Below are 24697 nucleotides of genomic sequence, written 5' to 3' on the forward strand. Positions count from 1 at the left end.
TATTTCTATGGTAACTCCCATGCTAGGAATACAAAACACAAATCTGCACAGCAATGTTGCACACTCTCTGTTTTATTTTCCCCAAATTAGCCATGTTTGAGCGTGGACCTCTTCATGGGCAGTGAGGATCACTCAGCACACATTTCTGTAAACTTTTTGGTGCGCGTGGGTTTTACTGTCTTCTGTTGAAGCTGTGTCCCCCATTTGGAAGGACGTGCAGGTGTGAAGGAAGGACAGTTCTTGCTGAAAAAGATGGGAATGGCTTGCAGATGTCTGTGGATTAAGCAGATCTAAAAGCTATGAGAAAACTGCCTACTTGTGTGTGTGCGCGTATGTGTATAGTAAATGTATATATGCATATATTTTATATTGACATTCTGTAGATATGTTTGAATACAGAAACTTGTTTTTACTCCGACTACTGAATCCAGAAGTACCAAATAATATACAGTAAACAGTAAAACCAAGATTTAAGGTTGTGTCAAAAAGGTACAGTGATTCAGTCATATCCATTTGTCATTTGTTTTAGCCTTTTTTTTTTTTTTGAGATGGAGTCTTGCTCTGTCACCAGGCTGGAGTGCAGTGGCGCGATCTCAGCTCACTGCAACCTCTGCCTCCCGGGCTCAAGCAATTCTCCTGCCTCAGCCTCCTAAGTAGCTGGGACTTACAGGTGCATGTCACCACGCCTGGCTAATTTTTGTATTTTTAGTAGAGACGGGGTTTCACCATATTGGCCAGGGTGGCCTCGATCTCCTGACCTCAAGTGATCTTCCAGCCCCAGCCTCCTAAAGTGCGGGATTATAGGCACGAGCCACTGCTCCCAGCCGGTTTCAGCGTTTTTCTTTGTTTGTTTGTTTTTTAAGAGGGAGTCTCACTCTGTTGCCCAGGCTGGAGTGCAGTGGCGCGATCTCGGCTCACTGCAAGCTCCGCCTTCTGTGTTCACGCCATTCTCCTACCTCAGCCTCCTGTGTAGCTGGGACTACAGGCGCCCACCATCACGCCCGGCTAATTTTTTTTTTTTTTTGTATTTTTAGTAGAGAAGGGGTTTCACCGTGTTAGCCAGTATGGTCTTGATCTCCTGACCTCGTGATCGCCCACCTCAGCCTCCCAAAGTGCTGGGATTACAGGCTTGAGCCACTGCACCTGGCCTCAGCATTTTTTGAGTGTTTTTCTTTCTGCAGTTGATCAGTTGGATCCTCCATATCTTGCGTATATACATGGGCTCAATTATTATGTTAGGATAATCAAATAAGAATACTAGTTCAATGATTAGCACTGAGTGGTTGTTAGGCAGTCATGTGCTCAACACTGATGTCACCTCTTTCTGTAAGCATACTGAGTAGAGACATTTTTTAGGTTTAAATTGACTTAAATGAAAGTGAATAAAAAGGCCTTTTCAAAAGAATGGGTTTGAAAAACCTCAGTACCCTTTAATACATGTACATTTCTTTCCTTTCTTCATTTAATATAACATGTGTCTGTTGTAACTGTGTTTCTTAAATGTTATTTTAAGGTTATATGTTCTTTAATTATGGTCAAATATAATTTGGTCACCAAAAACGAAATAATAGTTTAAAACAAGTAGCTGTTACTAAGGGTGCTAAAAATACTCATTTTATAATTAATTTTTAAAGTTTTCTTAGTATATTATAAATTGTGCCCTGGTCAAGTACAAATGTACACATCAAAATGCCCATATTGTATCTGTCTTTAGTCACTTGATGTGAATTATATGTGAATTTTTTTTGGTTCAAAGTTTTACTAACCAGAATTAAACACTCCGCATGAGAAAAACGGCACAACACAATCTTGAGGTCCCTTCTGAATCATCAGATTATATTATGCTTCATATGTTAAAGAAAAAAGAAACCTGCCTACTTTATTAAACTTACAAGTTTAATAGAGTCTTGGAGATTGATGTCTTGGGGCATGATTGGGAAAGTCTCCAAGGCATAGGTCCATCCATGTATTTCTTCATTTATTGACATCTTGTGCCCAGCACTTACTGAGCCACAGCAATGTGTAGTAAACATAATGCGTCCTCAGTCAGTGTTTGTTGAAGGGGTAAACAAACCCCATTCTGGGTTGTGTTCTTTTTTTTTTTTTTTTTTTTTTAAATATGAGACGGAGTCTTGCTCTGTCACCAGGCTGGAATACAGTGGCGCAATCTCGGCTCACTGCAGCCTCCGCCTCCTGAGTTCAAGCGATTCCCCTGCCTCAGCCTCCCAAGTAGCTGGGACTGCAGAAGTATGCCACCACGCCCGGCTAATTTTGTATTTTTAGTAGAGACGGAGTTTCACCATGTTGGCCAGGATGGTCTTGATCTCCTGACCTGGTGATCCACCTGCCTTGGCCTCCCAAAGTGCTAGGATGACAGGCGTGAACCACCACACCTGGCCAGGGGACATGTTCTTAAAGTTTATGAAGCATCAGCTTTGTCTAAGCTTTAGTCAAGAGTCAGAACTAATACAGATGGTCCCAACTTAGCATGGTTTGGCTTAAGATTTTTCAACTTCATGACGGTGTAAAAGTGATAGAAATTCAGTAGAAATTGTACTTCAAGTACCTGTACGACCATTCTGTTTTTCATTTTTCAGCACAGCATTCAGTAAATACACAAGATACTTAACATTTTATTATCAAATAGGCTTTGCATGAGATGATTTTACCCAACTGTAGGCTCATGTAAGTGTTCTGTGGACGGTTAAGGTAGGCTCGGCTACGATATGGTGTTAGGTGTATTAAATGCACGACAATACTTTCAATATATGGTGGTTTTTCGGGATGTAACCCATTCTAGGTTGAGGAGCATGGAGCATTTGTAGTCAGAGGGAAGAAAAGACATTTGGAGGATTTTGACTGGCGATTTTTATCATTTTGAGACCAGTTTTGGACTAAGAAGACAGTCAAATCAATGTTCTCTTTTGGCCTGAAGTTTTGGAATTCAGTGATGTCGTTGTCCCCTGCATTCCCCTCCTTTGTGGAATTTCAAAACCCCCTTCACATAATGAGAGAAATTAACCCTGAAGAAAGAAAGGACTGGAATTTCTACTAGCTTGTTGATAATGCATTATTGTTATGCTGTCATGGGAAACCTGTCTTCCTAGGTTCTAAATTGGTGGATGACTGTCTGGTGACGGAGTCCAAGCGTCATTGCACAATGAAGATGAAAAACGCATGTTGGATGGCTACTCCAGTGAAGTTGAAAAATGCTTGCCTGATAAAATGCTTGCCTGATGGCTACTCCAGTTGGGCACATGCATACTGCCTTCTGCTTTTGCTCAGGAGGAAGATAAGTGAAACTAAAGGATTTTGGTTGAGTAATTTAGAGAGAGAGTAAAAAGATTTTGGTGTTTGTCATGGGAGTTCACAGGCTCTTCTAATGGAACAGAGAACTGCTTTAGGGGCCAGTTTCAGGTTTTTGCCTTTCTGGAAGGAAGGGGCAGTCCCTTTTCCCTTTGACCACTTACCTCTATTGTCAGTTTGTGTAATTATGTCAGAACTCAGCCACAGCCTCTGTTTTTTTTTTTTTTTTTTTTATAGCTCTATCAAGTGATTTTCAGCTTTATAGGGAAAGATAGCTCTGAAATTTTCTTTCTTCTTTCTTCTCTTCTCTTCTCTTCTCTTTTCTTTCTTTTTTTGAGACAGAGTCTTACTCTATTATTCAGGCTGGAGTATAGTGGCACCATCTCAGCTCACTGCAGCCTCCATCTCCCAGGTTCAAGCAATTCTCCTGCCTCAGCCTCCCAGGTAGCTGGGATTACAGGCACCCGCCACCAGGCCTGGCTAATTTTTTTTTTTTTTTTTTCTTTTAGTGGAGACTGGGTTTCATCATGTTGGCCAGGCTTGTCTCCAACTCCTGGCCTCAAGTGATCCACCCGCCTTGGCCTCCCAAAGTGTTGGGATTACAGGTGTGAACCACCATGCCTGGCCTTGAAATTTCTTTTTCTCTACTTTTTCCTTTTTACCCACTGTTTAGTTTGCTAGGGCTGCTGTGACAGAGTACCACAGACTGGGTAGCTTAAACAGCAGAAGTTTATTTTTTCACAATTCTGGTGGCTAGATGTTTAAGATCAAGGTGTCAGCAGGGGGTTGGTTTTGTCTGGAGCTTCTCTCCTTGCCTCGTCGATGCCATCTCCTCCTTGTATCTTTACGTGGTTTTCTCTCTGTCCTTGTTTGTCATAATCTCTTCTCATAAAGATCCCAGTCCTACCAGATTAGGGCCCACCTTAATGACCTCATATAACCCTCTTGCCTTTCTAAAAGGTCCTATTTCCAAATAAGGTCACATTCTGAGATACTGGGGATTGGGACTTTAACATGAGTGATTTGAGGGGAGACTAACATGAATTTTTGGGGGGTGAGGTTCAGCTCATAACACCCACTTCACTTTTTCGTAGTACATTGGCAGTTCTGTTTCAAGAGCTCAGTTAATAATTATTTGATGTGTCATGGATTAGAACATGAAACAGGAATTTTGTTTTATTCATAAAACTGTATCCCTAGCACCTAGAGCATAGCGTAAGCCCTCAATAAATATAGGTTGGATATTATTGGATGAATACATGTCATATCTGGAAGAAGGATAAAGGAATGCCCTGAAGACATGTTAGTTTCAAAATGTTCTAAAGGCCCAGAAGGGCAGTGAGGATTTTCACTGGCTTCAGGGCTCTGTGCAATAATATAGAAATAGAGAATCTCACACTGAAGCCAGTCAACAGGACCAACTTCTTTTAGCCAGTCCTGTCTTTCCAGCAGCATCATGCAATCTAGGACATAAGAGAGCCCGTGTCAAACCATTTTTATATACCGTGACACTCTTATTTTTAACACAGTGGTTGGATTATTTATAAGCAATCTTGGATTCATTCAATAACCACAGGTAGATAGTGCTCTCACCTCATTAAAGCATTATTGCAGGCCGGGCATGGTGGCTCACACCTGTAATCCTAGCGCTTTGGGAGGCTGAGGCAGGTGGATCGCCTGAGGTCAGGAGTTCGAGACCAGCCTGGCCAACATGGTGAAACCCCGTCTCTACTAAAAATAGAAAAATTAGCTGAGCATAGTGGCAGGCACCTGTAATCCTAGCTACTCGGGAGGCTGAGGCAGGAGAATCGCTTGAACCAGGGAGGTGGAGGTTGCAGTGAGCCCAGATCACGCCATTGCACTCCAGCCTGGGTGATAAAAGCGAGACCTTGTCTCAAAAAAAAAAAGTATTATTGCAGAGAAGGAGGTACTCTTAGAACTCTGGACTCTGTTAGCAAAAGCGTTGGGGATTGATAGTGATTTAATTTTATTCATGATGCTGAGAGAGTCTCACCGGAATGCAGCGAGGATTTTGCCCCTCATGTCATCAAGCTGGTAGTACTTTGTTTTATGCCCGGTTTCTTGTCTGATGCAACCTTTTATGCACCATAGTGAAAAGTTGTGCTTAACATGTTTATGATCCCATATTTGGAAATCTTGCCTTATTTGGATTTTGCAGGTTTGATAGTTTGATAATTCAGAGAGGTTGGACTCAAATTTTTATCTATAAACAAGGGATTTACTAACAATAGTTTGGAATGATATGACTAAGAAAGATGTTCATTACTTACAGATCTCTTTAGAAGCATCATTTACATACAATAATTACCTGACTCAGAAGAAAGTCCCCTAGGGAAGTCATCTGACAGTCCTGGTCACTGTCTGTGCTTTAAAGCTGGCTGTTACTGAAGCCTTTAATGCATACTGTTTTTCTTCCCAGGTAATCTGCAATAGTAATTATGGTTTAGTTGAGTGGCCTCCCCCAGTTGAGAAACACAATCATACCATGCAGTAAAAAATATTTAAAGCACACTTATAGTTCTAGAACTTTGCATGGATAACTCTAATTAGTCTGGGAGCGCTTCCCTGGAGCCGAATGTGTTTAAGAATTCAATCTTTTAAGTGCCGGTGATGTCAGTTTGGAGACAGCAGTATGTGGCTCCATTCCACCGTGAATCCTTTGCTAGCTGCAGTGTACTTTAGCTAATAGAATCAAGTGCTTGTCTTCAAGTTTTTTAAGAGCATAAAAACCCTGTTTATTAAAACAATTCTCTTTGGCACTTTGCAGCATTATGATAATGCTGTCTTAGCAGAAGTGTAGAGAGCTGTGAACTCCTAGGGGGAGGCTCTGGAGGAGGACCATTCTTTCCCATTGTATTTCTTCGGGACAAGCATCATTTCTTTCCTTAGTCAAAGGCTTTGTCTCAGCTTGCACTTCACGTTTTGAATATCTTTCTGGAGAAAAGCAACAGCAAGTATTCTGGATATTACGCATGATGATGGTTTTCTTTGATGCCTATCTAATATAAACTCCCATTCTCCTGGAACCTCACATATTTTAAAAAATATTACTTGAGGCTGGGCCCGGTGGCTCACGCCTGTAATCCCAGCACTTTGGGAGGCCGAGGCTGGTGGATCACTTGAGGCCAGGAGTTCAAGACCAGCCTGGGCAACATGTTGAAACTCTACTAAAAATAAAAAAATCAGCCAGGCATGATGGCGGCATCTGTAATCCCAGCTACTTGGGAGGCTGAGGCATGAGAATTGCTTGAACCCAGGAGGCAGAGATTGCACTGACCTGAGATGGCACCACTGCACTATAGCCGAGGCAGCAGAGCACGACCCTGTCTCAAACACACACACACACACACACACACACACACATCTTTGAAGTAAGTTACTGATAGGGATGGAAGTCTTCCAAATCTGGAAAAATCAATGTATGAAAGATCCATAAATATTCTGAATTTGTCTTAATGTGTCTATGCACAATGTAAGGAATGCATTGATAGGTTTCTGTGCTGTTCCCCCCACCCCCACCGCCTTTTTTTTGTGACAGAGTCTTGCTGTGACACCCAGGCTGGAATGCAGTGGCATGATCTGGGCTCATTGCAGCCTCAACCACCCGGGCTCAAGCGATTCTCCCGCCTCAGCCTCCCGAGTAGCTGGGACTACAGTCCTGCACCACCGTGCCTGGCTAATTTTTTTTTGTGTGTGTATTTTTTTAGTAGAGATGGGGTTTTACTGTGTTGCCCAGGCTGGTCTCGAACTCCTGGGCTCCAGCGATCCACCCTCCTTGGCCTCCCAATGTGTTGGGATTACAGGCATGATCCACCGTGCCCAGCCTGTATACTGTTGCTATATAGAAGAGTCTAGTAAAGTCTGGCTCATATTTGAACATTCAAGAAATAGTCGTTGGTCCTGTCGCTCCCAGAAGCTGCACAATTTTTGAGTAAACGTAGCCAAAGTTTTCAGAATCACTGAATGCTGCTAGTTCTTTTCTTTTCGTGATTAATTCAGACAGGCCGCATCCCTGCGAGACCCTTCTTCTCCCACCTCCACCAACATCCACAGACCTCTCCCTCCAAGGCTACAACCACCGAGCCCTCTGACAGATTTGATCGCACTGCTCAGGCTTACTGTCCTCACTTTGTTCTGTGTGTGGTTTGGTATTTTTCTGTCCTGCCCACCCAGGCCAGGCCTTCCCCACGGTGCTGTGATAGAGTATTGTTATTTGTTGCTTATTGTCTGGAGAAAATCTCTCAATTCCATATCAAACTGTTGTTTGAGGCCTTTTGTTTTCATTGTCAAATGTGTCGGGTGGCAGTCTCATGAAAAAAATCACATTTGAAGGTATATTCATAATACCTGGTAGGAAGAGAAAAATAATGGTGTTCCTGTGACCTGTTTACCTGATTCTGAAACTAAACAGTGTTGCATGGAAAGCGATTTTAGCGATCTTAGAAAAGAATGTGTTGTGTCTTTTTTTTGGAAACCCAGCGATTCAGTTAGCATATTATTTGTTTGCGTGTATCTTACCCTTTCAAGAACTCTAAGGTATGTGCGACATGGTAACCCCAATGCAAACGGCATTAAATTGTGGAAGCAGGAATGGTGTTAAAAGGATTCTTAGAGGTGGTGCCGGTTAGGAGGAGGAAGGAAGCCGTTGCATGCCAGGTATGGTGTCACCACACATATTTCGTCCTGGTAGTGATCCTGTGAATTACCCTCCGTGACCATGCTTTGTGGTTGAGCACAGTGAGTCCCTGTCTGGGCAAGGGATGATGTAGCAGCAAATGGCCGAGCTGGCTAGGAGTCACACCCAGGCCTCCTTTGTCTACGTTGGATTACTTTTTCTGTGTCTACCAGCATTAGAAAATGAGAAAAGTGTCATTATTTGCAGGAACATAGGGCATTTCAGGTTAGGAAGGAAGCAAGAGTGAAAGTCTAGGATAGAGGTGAACATGAACCAGGATATTCGGGGAACGATGATCAGACAGTCCAGCTGGAGTGGGGAGTGCTGGTGTAGGGTGGGGAAGGAAAGGTTGGCAAGAAGTCACGCCCTTCTGCCCGACTGAGGAATTGGTTTTCATCATCTATAGGAACTTTTGTAAGTTTTTGAGGAGAAACACTAGTGAGTGACAACTTGGGAGTGGTGTTTGACCATAAAGGTTAGGCAGCCTGTGTTGTGCAAAGTGATTATACAGGAGCAAGATTTCAGGTTGTGTCAATGGTCCAGGGAGGCGGAGTAAACAGACAGGAAGACAGGAAGGAGTAAGTGAAACGTTAAAAGATTTGGGTGGTTGCAGAGGGGAGGTGGTTTGAGGAGGAAGATTATTGTAGCACCATCTGCTGGCACCAGTACTATCTACACCAGAGCCATTCCTCTTCCTGTGCTGCAAGAACCCCCGTTTTGTTCAACTGTCCAACCCTTGCCCTTGTAACTTGGGTAAATCCTGACTGCTTTGAGACAGTCGTGGGAATACCCTTCAAGGGTGGGCATGTGATTCCTGTTAGTGAGCAGGTAACTTCTGAGAAAGGTTTCTTTACCCTAAAAAGGGACACAAAGAAGAGGTTGTTTCAGCTGCTGCTGGATGTTGCCATGCGTGCATGTATCTCCTGGAGCAGTGGCAGCCATCCTGTGACCATGAGGAAAGCTGGCAGAAGGAAACAGGAACTTCGTAGGTGGTTGAGTGGCTAAATTAATTAACCCTGGGGTTTTCCTGCCTCAGACCTTTTTGTAAGATTATTAACCTTTATTGTTTAAGGCAGGGGTTGGCAAACTATGGTCCATGAGACACCAGCCACTTAAAAAAAAATTTTTTTTTTAATTTTTAAGAGACGAGGTCTTGCTCTGTCTTCCAGGAGCATAGTGGTGCAGTCTTGGCTCACTGCAACCTCCACCTCCCGGGCTCAAGTGATCCTCCCACCTCAGCCTCCTAAGTAGCTGGGACTACAGGTGTGTGCCACCATGTCTGGCTAATTTTTGTATTTCTCGTAGAGACGAGGTTTTGCCATGTTACCCAGGCTGGTTTTGAACTCCTAAGCTCAGGCAATCCACCCGCCTTGGCCTCCCAAAGTGCTGGGATCATAGGCATGCACCACCATGCCTGGCCTCACTTGTTTTTTGTAAATAAAGTTTTATTGGCATGCAGCAATGTCATATTGTCTGTGGCTGCTTTTGCATTGCAGTGGTGGAATTGAGTAGTTATGAAAGAGAGACAGTATGGTTCACAAAGCCTTAAATATTTGCTATCTGGTCTTTTAGAGAAAAAGTTTGTTCACTTCTGGTCTAAGCCATTTTGAGTTAGGTTTTCTGTTTATTTGTAGCCAAAGCCTGTTTAAGATGCTGGCCTTGTTTTGTACCTCTTAACTGGAGATTGTCCTGTAGGCAAGGGCTTTCTAGAGCTGTTGTGCTGTCAGGACTGAAGATGTGCATTTGGGATTCACTTTCATATCACAGAAAGCAGTTAAGAAAGAGTTTCTAAGTATGGGGGGATTTATAACATCAAGTGCAGATTTGTTGCAATTTCAATGTGGTGGTGAAAAGCCAAGATGGCAGGTGCTTAAAAAGGGAATGAGTGGGAAGATCAATTTATTGGCATAAATTAAAAGAAATGTTTCAGATATTTCACCTGAGAACCTAGGATGCATCTTGATGGTCCTAGATTATGAAAGTTAATGTTTAATCTGACTTGCTCCAAACGAGGACAAAGTTAGGCAAAAATGCATCCCATGTAACTTGTTTTTGTGGCCTCTGTGATTCCTCCTCCTGACCTCTGCTGTGCTGGTACTGAGCAAAGACTTAAGGTATATATGAGACCCTCATGTATAATGGTTTGACTGATAGCCCCTTACTTGTATGATTTTTTTCTCATCGTAAATGGTGCTTTTACACAGTAATTGCCCGACTCACGTGATTCACTTCGATTCCACTCTCTGTGGCTGATGTTGCATGAAGGTTGTAGGCACTGCTGTGCCAGAGTCAACAGGGATAAAGAAACCTGATAGATTGATTTGATGGCAGGGATGTGTGATTAGAGAAGGTCGAATCCATAGGCCTTTGCAGGAAGCAGGGATTCCAGCACCGATATCGAGCTGTCTTCAAAATACTAATGAACAGGTGAGATGTCAAAGGAAGACAGCATGAACCAAAGATGATTTATTTGATCACTTCAGGGGGAATAAAACCAGTTGAAATCACATTAGAATTCAAGGGAAACTGCACAAGACATTTCAAGAAAGTTGAAAAAGATAGTCCAGAAAAGTTAAGCTGAAAAATTTTTCTTTCTTTTTTTTTTTTTTTGAGATAGAATCTCGCTCTGTCACCCAGGCTAGAGTGCAGTGGCACAATCTTGGCTCACTGCAACCTTCACCTCCTGGGTTTAAGCAATTCTCCTGCTTCAGCCTCCCGAGAAGCTGGGACTACAGTCATGTATCACCATGCCCAGCTAATTTTTATATTTTTGGTAGAGATGGGTTTTCACTATGTTGCTCAGGCTGGTCTCGAACTCCTGACCTCAAGTGATCCGCCCACTCTGGCCTCCCAAATTGCCGGGATTATAGGTGTGAGCCACCGCGCCCAGCCTGAAAATCTTGAAGGAGAAGGCTGCTACTCCTTGCCTGCTGCAGATACTTAATTTTGATGAAATAGAGAGTAAAGGATCATTGAAGGAGTCACTGTAAATTTAAACTCGTACTTAAGCATATACTACCTGAAGACGTTTAAGAGCCATTAATGTACATGAAAGTATTAGGTAAAGTTTGAGATAAATTGTCTTATTTTTAAATGTAGTTGGAAGATCTTTGGGGGTGATAAAGAACACCTTTTTTGTCAGCAGGAGATTTCTTTTTGTGGTAGTTTTTCACGCTCTTCCGCCAGATCCAAACTTCTTGAGAGTGTGGACTGTGTCTGGTTTTGTTCAGCTAAAATCTGACATAGTGCTTGGTATCTAGTAGATGCTTCATAAATATGTGTTAAATAAATGTGCTTTACTCCTAATTTTATAAGACTTGTGTTAAGGCTGCTTCAGTAGTCAAGCTCCGCATAGTAGAAACATCTTCCAAAATGAAGATTGACAACTTAGCTTTAATATCGTTGGGTTTCATGAACGTAATACATGTGTCTGAATGCATACATGGGGTTTTACTTTCTTTTCATGATGGGTTTTGATATATTTAACGTTTGAAATTGATTTTTAGAAACAGAACCTCAGTCTGTACCATTACAGCTCTGGGAAGTGAGAGTTTTCTACTTCACTGTGGTTTGATTTGTGATTATCATTTAATAACCAGTTAGTAGTGAGGGGTTGCATGTACATTGCATGGAATATTAGGGCTGGGAAGAGATTTAGTGATAGTTGCATCTAGTCCATTTTTTTTTCCAAATGAGGAAACTGAGGTAACTTCCTCACCTAAGGTCCAACTGCTGATTCTTTTCATAGAGGGAAGCTACCGCCTATCTGGTTCCTTCTCTCCTCACTGCCCTATCCTCCCTGCCCCCAATCCTGCCTGTACCTCCCTGCAAAATTTAGGCAAAGGTAGAGTCCATCTTCATGAGAGTATACATTGGGTAAGAGAATTAATGTGACGGATAGGAAGAAGTTACTATAGGAATGCTGGGAGTGGTGGTTTATGTAGTTCTCTGATTGCTTTAAGACCTTTTACTGAAGTGAAACCTTTATTCTTAGCAGATTTGGGTTCATGGATGTAAGCATCTGCTTAGGCTTGTGACCAGCATCTCTGTGGTCTGTGTGATAGAATACTGCTTTTCTCTGCACCCTTCAAGGACTCCTGAGCTACACACTCTTTATATGATAGAGAAAATTATAGATGTACTTATCTGTTGGGTGGTTCTGGATGAAAGTTCCGTTTTCTTTGTCTGCACAGCCCCTGATGAGCTCTTCCCTGCTCTGCTGGGAACTGGCCCTCATCCTCCTTTTCCATCAAGGTTCCTCTTCAGGCTTTGAGCGGATCCATGCGGAGAGAGAACAGTCTCCCGCCTTTCCCCATTTCAAGTCCCTGGAGCCTCTAGGCTCTGGGGGGCAACACCGAATACAGGGGGCAGAGTGTGGTGCCCATCCGGCATCATCAGCTTTTGCAGCCTCAGCCCCCAGCTGACTACAGGGACACCTCTGCCATGCCTCCTTTCCCAGGGCCATGGCTCCGGAAGAGCCAGTATCTGGAGTCATGGCCCTGGGACCAGAGGCATGACAGAGGTCTCCCTGTAGTCAAAACCTGTGCTTGGGTTCGTGGTAAGCCATCTGAGGCATCTGCTGTGTTCCTCCCCTATTCTTAAGGGGTGGTCTCTCTCTCTCAGGGTTGAAGCCTAAATCTGGGGCATGGGTCTGATGCAGGTCCTTAGGGGGCCAGCCCTGTGGTGCACTGAGCCACAAAGAGGTTCCAGATTGAAACCCTTACAGATCTTCCTCCATTAGTGCTTGATTTTCATTCATGGTGCAGAGAACTTGCAGGACAAGGTTCATTTGCCCTTCTCTACCATTCCTCCTTTGCCTTTGTCCACATAGATGAGGAGCAAGGTGGCCTTCAGGAGACTTTCTGGGGCACTAGGAAATGGCCAAGTGATAGGATGCAGAGTTGAAGACGGCTGTTTTAGGCCAGGGCTCCCAGCACTGTAGCTTGATTACTGCTGATTACTTCAGTTCCTCCAACCAATCCTTTACCTTCCATGCAGAGAGGAAAAGTCCCACTTACTGACTGGCAGAGGGCTTTCCAAGGAAATCACAGGCCCCAAGGAAAAGTGGAGTGTTAATTTGCTTCATGGGGTGAAACTGCTTTCTGAAAGCATGGTTTGGGCCTCCAGTTTGTAATAAAATCACAGCCAGCCCTTATTGTTCACACTGGAAAATTTATTCTTGTTTGTGTACCACTAATGACTAGCTTTCAGAATGCTTACTTTCTTCTCATAATTGTCCACTAATTTACTGTCCTTCTGATGGGAAGAATAACAATGTATTTGAAGTTCCTTGGGCTACTGGGTTTATTGTTTTTGATACTTTTAGATATTTCAAACATGGACCTTTTACGTGCTTTATGTTGCGCAATATTCATATTTATTAGGGCTATTTAATAGCGATGCAAATGAGTTCAGTGCAGCTGTGCCGGACAATAGTCATGGAAATGAATTCATCTTGTTGCTTTTTTCTTTTCTTGGGTCATTCTGATCTTTTCATACTTTTCTTAATGGAACAAGCACGTTTCTTCAGGAAAGGTGGCCTCATGTTTTCATTTGTCTGCAGGACAAATAATTTGAGTTTCATTTCTTCCTGTGGCTCATGATCCAAATTGGTCAGAATAAAGTTGGTTGCATCAGAAATATTGCAGAAGTTTAGTCTCTGCTCTCCAGAGGTTGGCTGAGAAAGCTTCACTCTGGGTAGCTGTCGCTTCCCCTCTGCGCTCCAGCAAAGTCCATGCTCATCAGTGACACACATGCCCTTCCCCTCCATTGTATTACTCTTAAATTCCTTCTGAAACTAAGAATTTAGCACTAAATGGAATTGATTCCTGAGTTGGACACATTAGTAGTTCAACCCTGGTTGCCAGCTCTGTCCCTCTTCCGCACATCATTTGCAGCTTTTAATCTTCACTGAAAGCCAATAATTAAGTATAGCAGAATTATGTCTGAAGCAAGGCCAAATTGGCACTGGGTAAACCTGAGGACCCGTCCCATGGAAAACCAGTAATAATTTCCCCCCGCATCCTAATTCTTTTTTCATTTCAAATCAGCATTTCCAAAGCACTTTCAAGACCGTTCCCTTTTTTTATCCTTAGGCTGAAACATGCCCTGAAAGGAAGGGGAGAATGTTTTAGTGACTCATATTCAAGAAAGAGAACATTGCCAAAAATTTGCAACAACAAGGTAAATTTATTACTCATGCAAGTAAGAAGCAGAGCTCTCTTCAGTGGCAGCTTTCCTCAGCAAAGCTGGGAGCCGATCTTGTTTAGGATCTTGGGAAGCGTGAAGTTCGAGGCTGGTCAGGCTTTGAGAGGTGGGAGTGAGAGGTCATTAGCAGGGTCCTTGGATGAGTGCCTTGTTGATCAGCTGTTGACAAAAGCATGGGGATGTCAGAAGCCCGTGTACTGGTTCTGAGCTGTCATTGATTCTTAAACTGGTAGTTTCTTGTTACCATGACTACAGATCATTCCCCCACCTTTACTTCCCCCAAGCACACTCTTCCTCCACATACGCTTTTTGATGTTTTCTCAGACAAAGCTTCAGGAGAGACCCTCAGGGAGAATCTTCCCTGTGGTGATTAATCTTCCTCCCTGATAATATTTTATTTTCAGGGGGTCTGATTTTCATTTGCATTAAATATGTGAGAAAACTACGGCTTAGGGAGGTCATGGGGCTTTTCTAAGTTCCTGTATTTGGCCAGTTGGAGAACCTAGGCCTTGTCACTTCTTGAGATCTTAAGAGTCTTGATGCCAGGGACTGGGCCTTATTCTTGTGAGTTTCTTTGGTATTTTGCATGTAGTAGGTCTGTAGTTGCTGTTTGTTGATTGAATAAGTGATACCACCAGTGCACTGAGCAGGTCAGATTTTGTTTCTAAGTCAGCACAGGACCCATCAGTACTGATAAAGCCCCAAAACCCCCACCTTTGCAGTCAGCCTATTGTGTATTTGGTTGGAGCAAAAGTAATTGTGGTTTTTGCTATTTTTTTAATGGGAAAAACTGCAATTACTTTTGTACCAACCTAAGACCTTTCAGTAAGTGAGAGGGCAGCTTGTGAAGCCAGGCTCTTTGTGAGGTGTGAGCTACTGAAGGTTAAGTGTCCAAAACTAGACTCTGATGTGTGCAGTTAGCCGGGGGGAAGGAGGTAGTTCAGAAAACCAGAAGGTGGCAGCTAGAATTAATAATCCCTGCCTCCTAGTTTGGATATACCCTCACTGCCTTTTTTTAAAAGCAAGAACTCTAGAGATTAAGTGTTCCAATAGCTGGGATGCTTTTGGAAGGCCGTGTATACCTCAGTGTATGTGTTCCCAGTAGTGTGTGCCCTGGAGGAAACCCCAGGGCCCAGAGCTTCCCTGCAGCCCCGGCCCCAGCTCTGGCCCCGGCCCTGGCCCTGGTCCTGGCCCTGGAGGCATCTTCTAATGAAATTACCTCCACTGAAGTTTCCTATAAACATAGTCAAGAGCAGCCTCTCTCCCTGCTGAGCTATTGCAGATCCCTCCCACTTCCTCTTCTGCTCTCCTTTCTCTGAAACACCAAGTGAGGATGCGTGTTTGCTTGTTTATGGATGGAGTAGCTAAAGGAGCAGGGATGGAGCTTGAGTTCCTCCAGCTCAGAAGTTGATCTGAGGAGTTTTTTTCATTTTTGTTTTTTATGGAGACAGAGTCTTGCTCTGTCACCCAGGCTGGAGTGCAGTGGTGTTCTCTCAGCTCACTGCAACCTCTGCCTCCCGGGTTCAAGCAATTCTCAGGCCACAGCCTCCCGAGTAGCTGGGACTACAGGCACCCGTCACCACGCCCTGCCCATTTTTTATATTTTAGTAGAGACTGGGTTTCACCATGTTGCCCACGCTGGTCTCGAACTCCTGAGCTCAAATCATCCACCCATCTTGGCCTCCCAAAGTGTTGGGATTATAGGTGTGAGCCACTGCACCCAGTCCACCTGAGGAGTTTCTGAAACATCTCACTCAAACCTCCAGCAGTGAGGCCTGGGCACCTGGTTGTTAACTGAGTTTCCCTGAGGACCCTCAGTCTTCCTCATTAGTAGGCCTTGCCCTGGTCAGGCTTCCTCAGTTTGTGGATGGAGCAGGTAGGGCGCACGGAGGTGAATCTCCTGAGCCAGGAGCAGCAGAGCCAGGATGGACCCTGACTTCTAGCTTCCCTCAGCCTGAGCTCTTTCTCTCCTGCCACACTCTTCTTGGGCCTCTTGCTGTCACCCTGGGCTTGTCAGGTGCCAGCAGGAACTCTTGGGCAAATGGGTCCTATTTCTGCTTGAGTCTTGAGGTTTGGAGCAGCTTAACTGGGAGAGAAGGCAGCATCCTTTAATGGGGGCTGGCAGTTTAATGCCATCAAGGGGTAGGATGGGAGTGTGAATGGAAGACAGCCCGTCTTCATTAGACTTTACAATGTGGCTTATCAAGTGCAGTGTTTGAAGACCTTGTGAAGACATCATGAGCCTCACAGTGCTAAGAGGGACCTGAATGAAAGGAAAACAATGGCTTTCAATGATGATTTGGGAAACATGGATGATGCACTGATCTGAGCTTATAGATCCTGTCCTTGGGTGAACAGGGAGAGGTCAGAAACAGGAGGATGCTTAATTCATTCCAGCCACCGCTGCTGGAGTTGTTTTAGCAAAGCTCCCCATTTCTGTAGTTGGTGCTGGCATTTTGACGATTTCCCCCTTTGCTATGGTGATCTGGAAGCACAGAGCCAGATGTGTAGCTGCTTCTTTGTTCCTAGGCACACGCCTTTTTTCCCCGAATGTGGCCTTGGAGTCAGATTGCCCAGGTTCAAACTTTGGTTCCTCGGCTTGTTAGCTGCATGGCCTAGACAGCTTGCTTAACTTCTCTTGCCTGGGTTAGAATGATAGCACCCCAGCAGTCCTAATAACAATTCCTGGGCTACAGTATTTACTACCTACCTTGTGGGGTTATTATGAGGAACAAGTACAATCATAACATCAAGGGCTGAGAGCCTTCCTAGAACACAGTAACTATCCCATTAATGTTCACAGAACTATCACCACTCATGAAATCCTAGCTTGAATATTTACATTAGTCTTGTTTCTCAAACTTGACTCTTTGGTTTGATCGACATTTTCCCTAATGCTGATTTTCACCTTTATTTCTACTTTGCTGTTTGTATTCTTGGGAGTAACCTTTGATGTATGAATGAAATAAATAAATTCAAATGCCAGGCTTTTACCATGGGGTCTAATGTGCTTGAAATCAGAATGCAATAGACGCTTTTGCTAAGCTTGAGGGCAAAGAGGGGCTAGTGCTGCATCCAGGGGTTTCAGCCTGGGGACTGCGTCCTGGCCCTCTCTGTCCAATGCCTTCCTGATTCTCCCCCACTTAAGTTGCTATCACAGTACCTTGCTAGACCAACTAACTAGCACAGTTTGAGACTTTTCTTTCCTTGCTCTGACTTCTTTGTAAGTGCAGCTTATGTTGTCAGAAAGCTCAAAATGTTGTGACAATAAGGCTGCAGTCCCGTGCAGCCGGCGTTTTGTCGTGTGGGTGTGATGGTGCTTGTGTGCTGTGTTCTTATTGGCAATCGCGAGACGCACTCACGGAATCACAGATGCCGCCTACAAAAGGTATCTATAAGGTATCTATGTTCCATAAAAGCAGGTAGCCTGTTTACTTAGCCCTGGACTAGGCCTCTGGGAGGGAGGAGGGAGAGGTGGGTGTGTGCAAATTTGGTGGGGAGAAAAAGTGTTATATAAAATTGGGAAGATATAAAGCACTGACAAAAAGAAATGTGAAAAGATGTGTTTAAAACAATGCGCATGAAGTGCGAAGTCTATGGGGCGGTTCTGATGAGCAAGCATGGAGGACTTTTTGGGGGAGGGGGGTGGTCTTAAGCTGTGTCTTAAAGCCAAAAAATGTGAAGAGAGGTTTCCAGATAGAGAGGATGCCATGAGTTAAGTGGATGCAGGCATAGCGCTAAGAATAAAGGAGATTGCGTGTTTGACATGACCATCGTGAAGGACCCATGCTCTGTTGAACCTAGTAGTGAGGTTAGGATTGGAGAGGCCAAGTTACAGGATAAGGAAAGTAGCTTTGTCATCATGGGCAAGAGGAAACCACTGCAGCTTCTGAGTGGATCCATGGTGCAAATGGGTGGAAACTGGTGATGGCTGGCAGGGGAAAAGGGGGGTCCCATTTTCAGGCATTATGGAGAAAAGTTACCAGGATTTGTTCAATAATTGGATGGTAAAGAAAAAGAGTGAAGAAAAATAATTCCAAGTCTTCAGTGCTTGAGAATCAAGAGGTTGGATGGCATTGATGTTGAATGAAAATCTTGTGAAAGCTGGAGATGAATGACTTAGCAGGGGGAAGTCTTAGCACTCTTCAAGAGAGGAGAGGCAGTATGTCCCTGAAGTTTGGATTCTGGACTCTGCAATCATCTGGGTCAAACCCCGGTTCTACCAGTCATTAGCTTTTGCAACCTTGACCAAATGAACCTCTGTCTGTTTTCCCCATTTATGAGGGTGAAAATAGCACCTACCTCAGAAGGTGGTGGCGAGGATTAAGTGAGAGAACACACGTGAAATGGTTAGAACAGTGCCTGGCGTGTGGTAAGTACCCACTGAATGCCAGTGCTTTTATTACGGTGAATATTCATTGTATTGAAAGTCAGACATAGGTGTGGAACCAGTTATGGGAGTGAGGATAAGTCTAGATTTGGGAATCAGTCGCAGAGAGGTGGACGATGAAAGTCTGAGAAGAAAGGATCTTGCTAATGGAGTGAACTCAGAGCTTGATAAAGGGAGGATGAGTGGAAATGGAGCTCAACGCTGTGCCTTGGGAAATACCTCTGTGGATTGGTGGGAGCACAGTGAGAAATTCAAGAAAGACACAGACAATGGAATAACCAGAGAATTAGGAGGCAAATCGAGAGACTGTGTTGTCATGGGAACCGAGGAAGGAGAATTTTTTTTAAAGATGTCGTATAAGTCAGATACAATGAGAATTAAGTGAAAATTGAGGCTAACATAATGTACCACTGATTAGGCTTGAATATTATTAAACATGCTAGAGCCGTTCAGCTGTGGGATGATTGAGAAGCCAGAGTTTATGGGATATGGGAACCGTGATGGGAGATTATAGGAAAAAGATGGAGTGGTGCTTAGAAGAGGCAGCAGAGCAAACGAAGCCAGGAGTTAAGAATTTAAAAGCTATACAAAGAGAACTAATAGAGGGCAAGAAATTAGAAATACAAATGCAGGCAGGAATGCATGTGGGAGACCAGGTAGGGAGTTGGCAGCATGGGGAACACAGAGGAGAAAGGCCCTGCTGAGCAGGTGGAGAGGACCTTTTTTGGCAAACAATGGTGGGCAGATGTGTGCAGTGGTGGAGAAATCTGGATCCAGGGGAAGGCACAGGCTGAGAACAGGTTTTCTCCATCATAATAAATATCTGCCTGTGACTGGTATAAATGTCGATGCTTCTCAAACCTTAAGAAACTTCCAGCATTTTGTTTTGTTTTTCAAATGATAAGTTTCTTATTCATACTGCTTCTAAGCATTGGGAAAGAAGTAACTCAGGGAGTTTTAAAAAGCTTTTATTTTAAAGAGGTCTTGTCTCCCAGGAAACATAACTTTTGGAAACAGTTTACAAAGAATTTGCTTTTTCTCACTGACAGATAGGGTGTCTTTTGGTGGGAGCAGAGCCCCAGAGCCAGAGGACCTGCCTGCTTGCTTGGCAGTCCCCCGAGCAGACACAATTTAGGAACAGGAAACCCTAGAGAAACCTGAGTCAGGATGCTGTGGGTCCCAGAAGCAACTGGGTAGTTGTTTCAAGTTTCCTTTTTTTTTTTGAGCGGGGGGTGGGTGGGGCGGGGGCGGCTTCAAACTGGAGATTAGCAAAAATGAGTTGGATATTTCCTTAGACAGTTCAAACCCTCATAGGTGAACTCATCTCCGTCTCTGTTTCTGCTTAGTTTTCTGCACATCCTTTCTAAGAACTCACTTATGTCTATAAATACCTTTTAACAGGTTCTCTTCATATTTGGATACCAGGAGTAAATAAGTGATTTTGCAAGTATACTCAAGGATTCTGGACTAGGTGCTACTGTGCCCTTTATACAGTCTGGTGGGGTTTGGGGGGTGGGTGTGTGTGGAAAAGAGAAACTCCCAAACCCTCAAAGAGGATGGGGAACAATGTCCTGAAAGAACAGGGCTCAGGCAGCAGAAGAGCTGAGGGGTCTCTGTTCTGAACGGGTCCCCCTTCTCCCTGCCCTTCATCTTGTGTGACTGCGGTTGAGAAAGACCTGCAGGATTAAAGGATCTGGTGACCTTGGGACCCCGCACTTGCTTGGCAGTGACAGTCCTGAGGAACTGTATTCTTTCAGTTCCTCTATCAGCAAAGCAGCTCAGTAGGTAAAGGGCGAATTCCGGCATTTCAGTGTCTCTTGCCATGGGTAGCTCTCATATTTCCAGTTGATGATGTCTGGACACGTGCCCTTGTGAAATGAGTTGAGTGGTGTGAGATTGGGAGCCCAAACCTGTGAACACCCAACTGGGCTTTTTCCTGGCCATAAAAAGCTCGAATAATGGAGAGCTTTAGGAAACAAGTTGTTTGAAAACTCTGTTGAGTTGGCTTTGAGCATTCGTGGAACATTATTTTTAAGAACCGGTTATTTCATTTAAAACAGAGTAAAAAGAGAAGATGATTGTATTAGTCTGTTCTCATATTGCTGCAAAGATACTACCTGAGACCAGGTACTTTATAAAGGAAAGAGGTTTAATTGATTCATGGTTCTGCATGGCTGGGGAGGCCTCAGGAAACTCACAATCATGGTGGAAGGGGAAGCAAACATGTCCTTCTTTACAGCGCAGCAGGAAGGAGAATGAACGAGTGCTCAGTGAAGGGGGAAGCCCCTTATAAAACCATCAGCTCTTGTGAGAAACTAACTCTCACGAGAACAGGATGGGGGATACTGCCCCCCATGATTCAATTATCTCTGCCTAGTCCCTCCTACGACATGTGGGGATTATGGGAACTACAATTCAAGATGAAATTTGGGTGGGGACACAGCCAAACCATATCAGTGATTGAGGGGAGAACAGGGAATGAAACATCCCCTCTCAACAGTGGTAGGAATAATGGCCTGTCATCATTATTGTCAGCAGTAACTGACATTTCTTGAAGACCTCAGTGCATAAGGCACTGTACTGAGCGCTTTATATTCTGTGTCTTGTTTAATTTCATTCAACCCTCCCAACAGCCTGTACTACATTAAATACTACTGTTACCCACTTTTCTTTTCTTTCTTTTTTTTATTGAGACAGAGTCTTGCTTTGTTGTCCAGGCTGGAGTGCAGTGGCACAATCTCAGCTCACTGCAACCTCCGCCTCCCAGGTTCAAGTGACTCTTCTGCCTCAGCCTCCCGAGTAGCTGGGACTACAGGTGTGCACCACCATACCTGGCTAATTTTTGTATTTTTTAGTAGAGACAGGGTTTCAGCATATTGGCCAGGCTGGTCTCGAACTCCTGACCTTGTGATCTGCCTGCCTTGCCCTCCCGAAGTGCTGGGATTACAGGCATGAGCCATCGTGCCCGGCCTTTTACCCACATTATACAGGTGAAAAAAATTATGTTGCTCTACCATTTCCACAAATGGCATAGGCTGGCCTATTACTGTCCTTTTCCAAAATACGTGTCTCTCAAATAGCTCTGCAGCTCTTACAGGGCTCCTCGTTGTCCTCTGTGCTTTACAGTTTGAGATCCTTCACGTTGGAGGTTTGTAGAGGACCACAGTTGCAAAATAGGGTGCCTGGGGTCTCTGCTTATCTGCATTTTGTCAAAGGATACTATAGGTCATGGCGCATGGTCTTTTGCTGATGTTCGTTTTGGCAAGAAGCACTATTTTTCATCATTTGCCAAGAAAACCTTTTGTGCATTTTACCTTAAGGACCTGGATAGCATAAGCAGAGAAAGGGAATCAGCATTTCCATGTTTTGAAAAGTAAAACAAGACTCTTTTTGGTCTTTGCGCCCCCATGCCCTAGAAATCCCATAATAAGTGCAACTGTCTCCTTCTGCTGATGGATTTCCTAAGTCATTCCCAGAAAGAAGTTGGGTGCTTTGTATTGTATTAATATATTCATCCTAAATAAGGGTCTTGGGGTTTTCCCCCCTTCCAAGATGTATTAAGAAGGTTGCTTACTGTAGGCTTTGATTTATTTATTTCCTATGAAATGCCAGAAACACCAAGTCCTAAAATCCTAGATCCAAGTCATTGACTTCTCAGTGATTATGACCACATTGAATTGATTAAACTCAAGTGACTGACAAGGCGAATAAAAATAGCCCAAAATGAGTCCAGACCCCATGGTTTTAAGAGCCCCCCACCAGTTCCCTAAAGCTACAGGACGGAAAGGACTCCTGATCCTTTGTACCTGAAGAGTGTGGTGCCTAACGTATAGCCAATGTTCATTTGTTTCTTCTCTCTGTATTTTATAAACATAATTACTTTGAATGAATTGGGTTATTCGGGAAGTCAGCACATGTCTCCATCTCCTGCTTTCTATTTCTAGAGTCCTAAGATAGACTTTGCTGACAAGAAGAGGCCCCTGCCCCTTCAGAGCTTAGAGTGTAGCAGAGAGATGGGTATTCAGGAAATCCTCAAATAGTGACAGAGCCACAGCGGCAGTGAGTGACAGGCAGGAGAACTATAGGATGCTGGAAGTGCATACAACCGGGGTGTTACCTAGTCTGGGACTGGTGGTCAAGGGGGCTTTTTTGAGGCCTGGACAACCCACAGACCGAGGGTGGGCTAGTGAGAGCCAGTGAGGGACACTCTTCAAGATCCCAGCACTTAAAAGATTGGTTGGGCATGATGACTCAGGCCGGGAACCCCAGCACTTTGGGAGGCTGAGATGGGAGGATTGCTTGAGCCCAGGAGTTTGAGACCAGCCCTGGCAACACCGTAAGACCCCATCTCAATGAAAAGTAAATTAGTCAGGGCCGGGTATGGTGGCTCATGCCTGTAATCCCAGCATTTTGGGAGGCTGAGGCGGGTGGATTGCCTGAGCTTAGGAGTTTGAGATCAGCCTGGCAACATGGTGAACCCTGTCTCTACTAAAAATACAAAAAATTAGCCGGGCGTGGTAGCAGGCACCTGTAATCCCAGCTACTCAAGAGGCTGAGGCATGAGAATTCCTTGGACCCGGGAGACGGATGTTGCATTGAGCCCAGATCGCGGCACTGCACTCCAGCCTGGGAGACAAAGCGAAACTCTGTCTCCAAAAAAAAAAAAAAAAAAAAAAAAAAGTAAATTAGCTAGGCATGATGGTACGTGCCTGTGGTGCCAAGCTCCTCAGGAGGCTGAGGCAGAAGGATGGCCTGAGGCCAGGAGTTCGAGATTGCAGTGAGCTGTGATCACACCTCTGCATTCCAGCTTGGACGACAGAACAACGCCCTGTTTCCAAAAAAAAAAAAAGATTGGGGTGCTCTTAAGCTCACAGTTCTGGCCATCTCCTCTTTCCTAAGTGGAGGGAGATCGTGGATCCCTGAGGGGGAACCTACTTCCCCTTTCACTTCAAAGTCTGCTTCTGTTTCTAAAAATGAACTGAAACCCCATCTGTTTGCTCATGTATTTGAAAACCCTTGAAAATGTTTATTTTTGTACATCTTCATACGACTCTCGTCTCAGAGCTGCTTCTCCTCTTCAGGTGGTTTCTGGGCACACTGGGGACGTCTGTGCACCTCCTCTGAGTGGAAGTCAATGCCTGTGATCCCCTTTCTAAAGGAGGCACGGATAGCTGCTGTGCGGTTTTTTCAACCTGTAGCCAGTTTTCATGTTTTTGTTCTCAAAATAATACTTTTTTTTTCAGGTGAAGACAAGGAACATTTAATTTACACTGAAATGATTTTTCCTCTTAGACCTTCTGAAAGCTATGACGTATGTATATTTATACCATAATAGATGCTAATGGTGTCCTCTCTGGGTGATGGTCCCAGAGATGTTTATACCACGGCATTTCACTCCACTAATAAATGTGGGTGGATGGATGGACGGGCGGACAGATGGAAATATCACACAGGACTGTGCCCAGGTTCCAGACAGTTTGGCTTTAGGGCCCCAACTCTGCCAAGGGATATTTTTTATATAGCATCATGTTTTTCATCATGATGTTAGTCTCTCTCTCTTTTTTTTTTCTTTGAGATGGAGTCTCGCTCTGTTGCCAGGTGTGAGTGCAGTGGCACGATCTTAACTGACTGTGACCTCTGCCTCCTGGATTCAAGCGATTCTCCTGCCTCAGCCTCCCAAGTAGCTGGGGCTACAGGTGCCTGCCATGCCTGGCTGATTTTTTTTTTTTTTAGTTGAGACAGGGTTTCATACTGGCCAGGCTGGTCTTGAACTCCTGACCTCAAGTGATCCACCCACCCAGGCCTCCCAAAGTGCTGGGATTACAGGCGTGAGCCACTGCACCTGCCTGTAACATCATGATGTTACAGTCCCCCAGCTCCTCACCTGGCCTCCCTGTACCCATTCCTGGCCCCCTCCCTCCTTCAATCTCTTTTCCACTTCAGAGAGTGATCTTTAGCATTCCCAGCTCCACCCCACGCTTTCTGCCTGTAATCATTTAAAGGCTTCCCATTGCTTCTAGGATGAAGTCCAGGATCCTTAAACTGGCCTACAAGGCCCTGTATCATCAGCTGCCCTGCGTCTCCAGCCGCCTCTCCTC

The 24697-nt window shown here is 44.4% G+C and overlaps 1 protein-coding gene across 8 annotated transcripts in view, besides 3 other annotated features; it reads left to right on the plus strand.

Moving 5' to 3' along the window:
* Positions 1 to 24697, plus strand: part of PRKCA (protein kinase C alpha) — a 508131-nt gene that overhangs the window by 115297 nt on the left and 368137 nt on the right. Inside the window, exon 3 of one of the 8 annotated variants that reach the window (XM_047436388.1) lies at positions 14098 to 14185. The exons of the other annotated variants lie outside the window; for them this stretch is intronic. The gene's annotated coding sequence lies outside the window, so the exon portion shown is untranslated. The remainder of the gene's footprint in view (positions 1 to 14097; positions 14186 to 24697) is intronic. 8 annotated transcript variants of the gene reach the window in all.
* Positions 15825 to 16022: a silencer, noted in NCBI's record as "fragment chr17:64429852-64430049 (GRCh37/hg19 assembly coordinates)". NCBI's record gives its function as "represses an EF-1alpha promoter that drives an FKBP-Casp9 reporter gene in an ReSE screen in HepG2 liver carcinoma cells {active_cell/tissue: HepG2}" and the evidence as "EXISTENCE:reporter gene assay evidence [ECO:0000049][PMID:32094911]".
* Positions 19688 to 19888: a silencer, noted in NCBI's record as "peak2944 fragment used in MPRA reporter construct". NCBI's record gives its function as "represses an SCP1 promoter by STARR-seq MPRAs in K562 erythroleukemia cells {active_cell/tissue: K562}" and the evidence as "EXISTENCE:reporter gene assay evidence [ECO:0000049][PMID:32103011]".
* Positions 23556 to 23755: an enhancer, noted in NCBI's record as "active region_12613". NCBI's record gives its function as "activates an Ori minimal core promoter by ATAC-STARR-seq in GM12878 lymphoblastoid cells {active_cell/tissue: GM12878}" and the evidence as "EXISTENCE:reporter gene assay evidence [ECO:0000049][PMID:35858748]".

Source organism: Homo sapiens, chromosome 17, assembly GCF_000001405.40.
Source record: "Homo sapiens chromosome 17, GRCh38.p14 Primary Assembly".
In the NCBI taxonomy this organism is placed as follows: domain Eukaryota; kingdom Metazoa; phylum Chordata; class Mammalia; order Primates; family Hominidae; genus Homo; species Homo sapiens.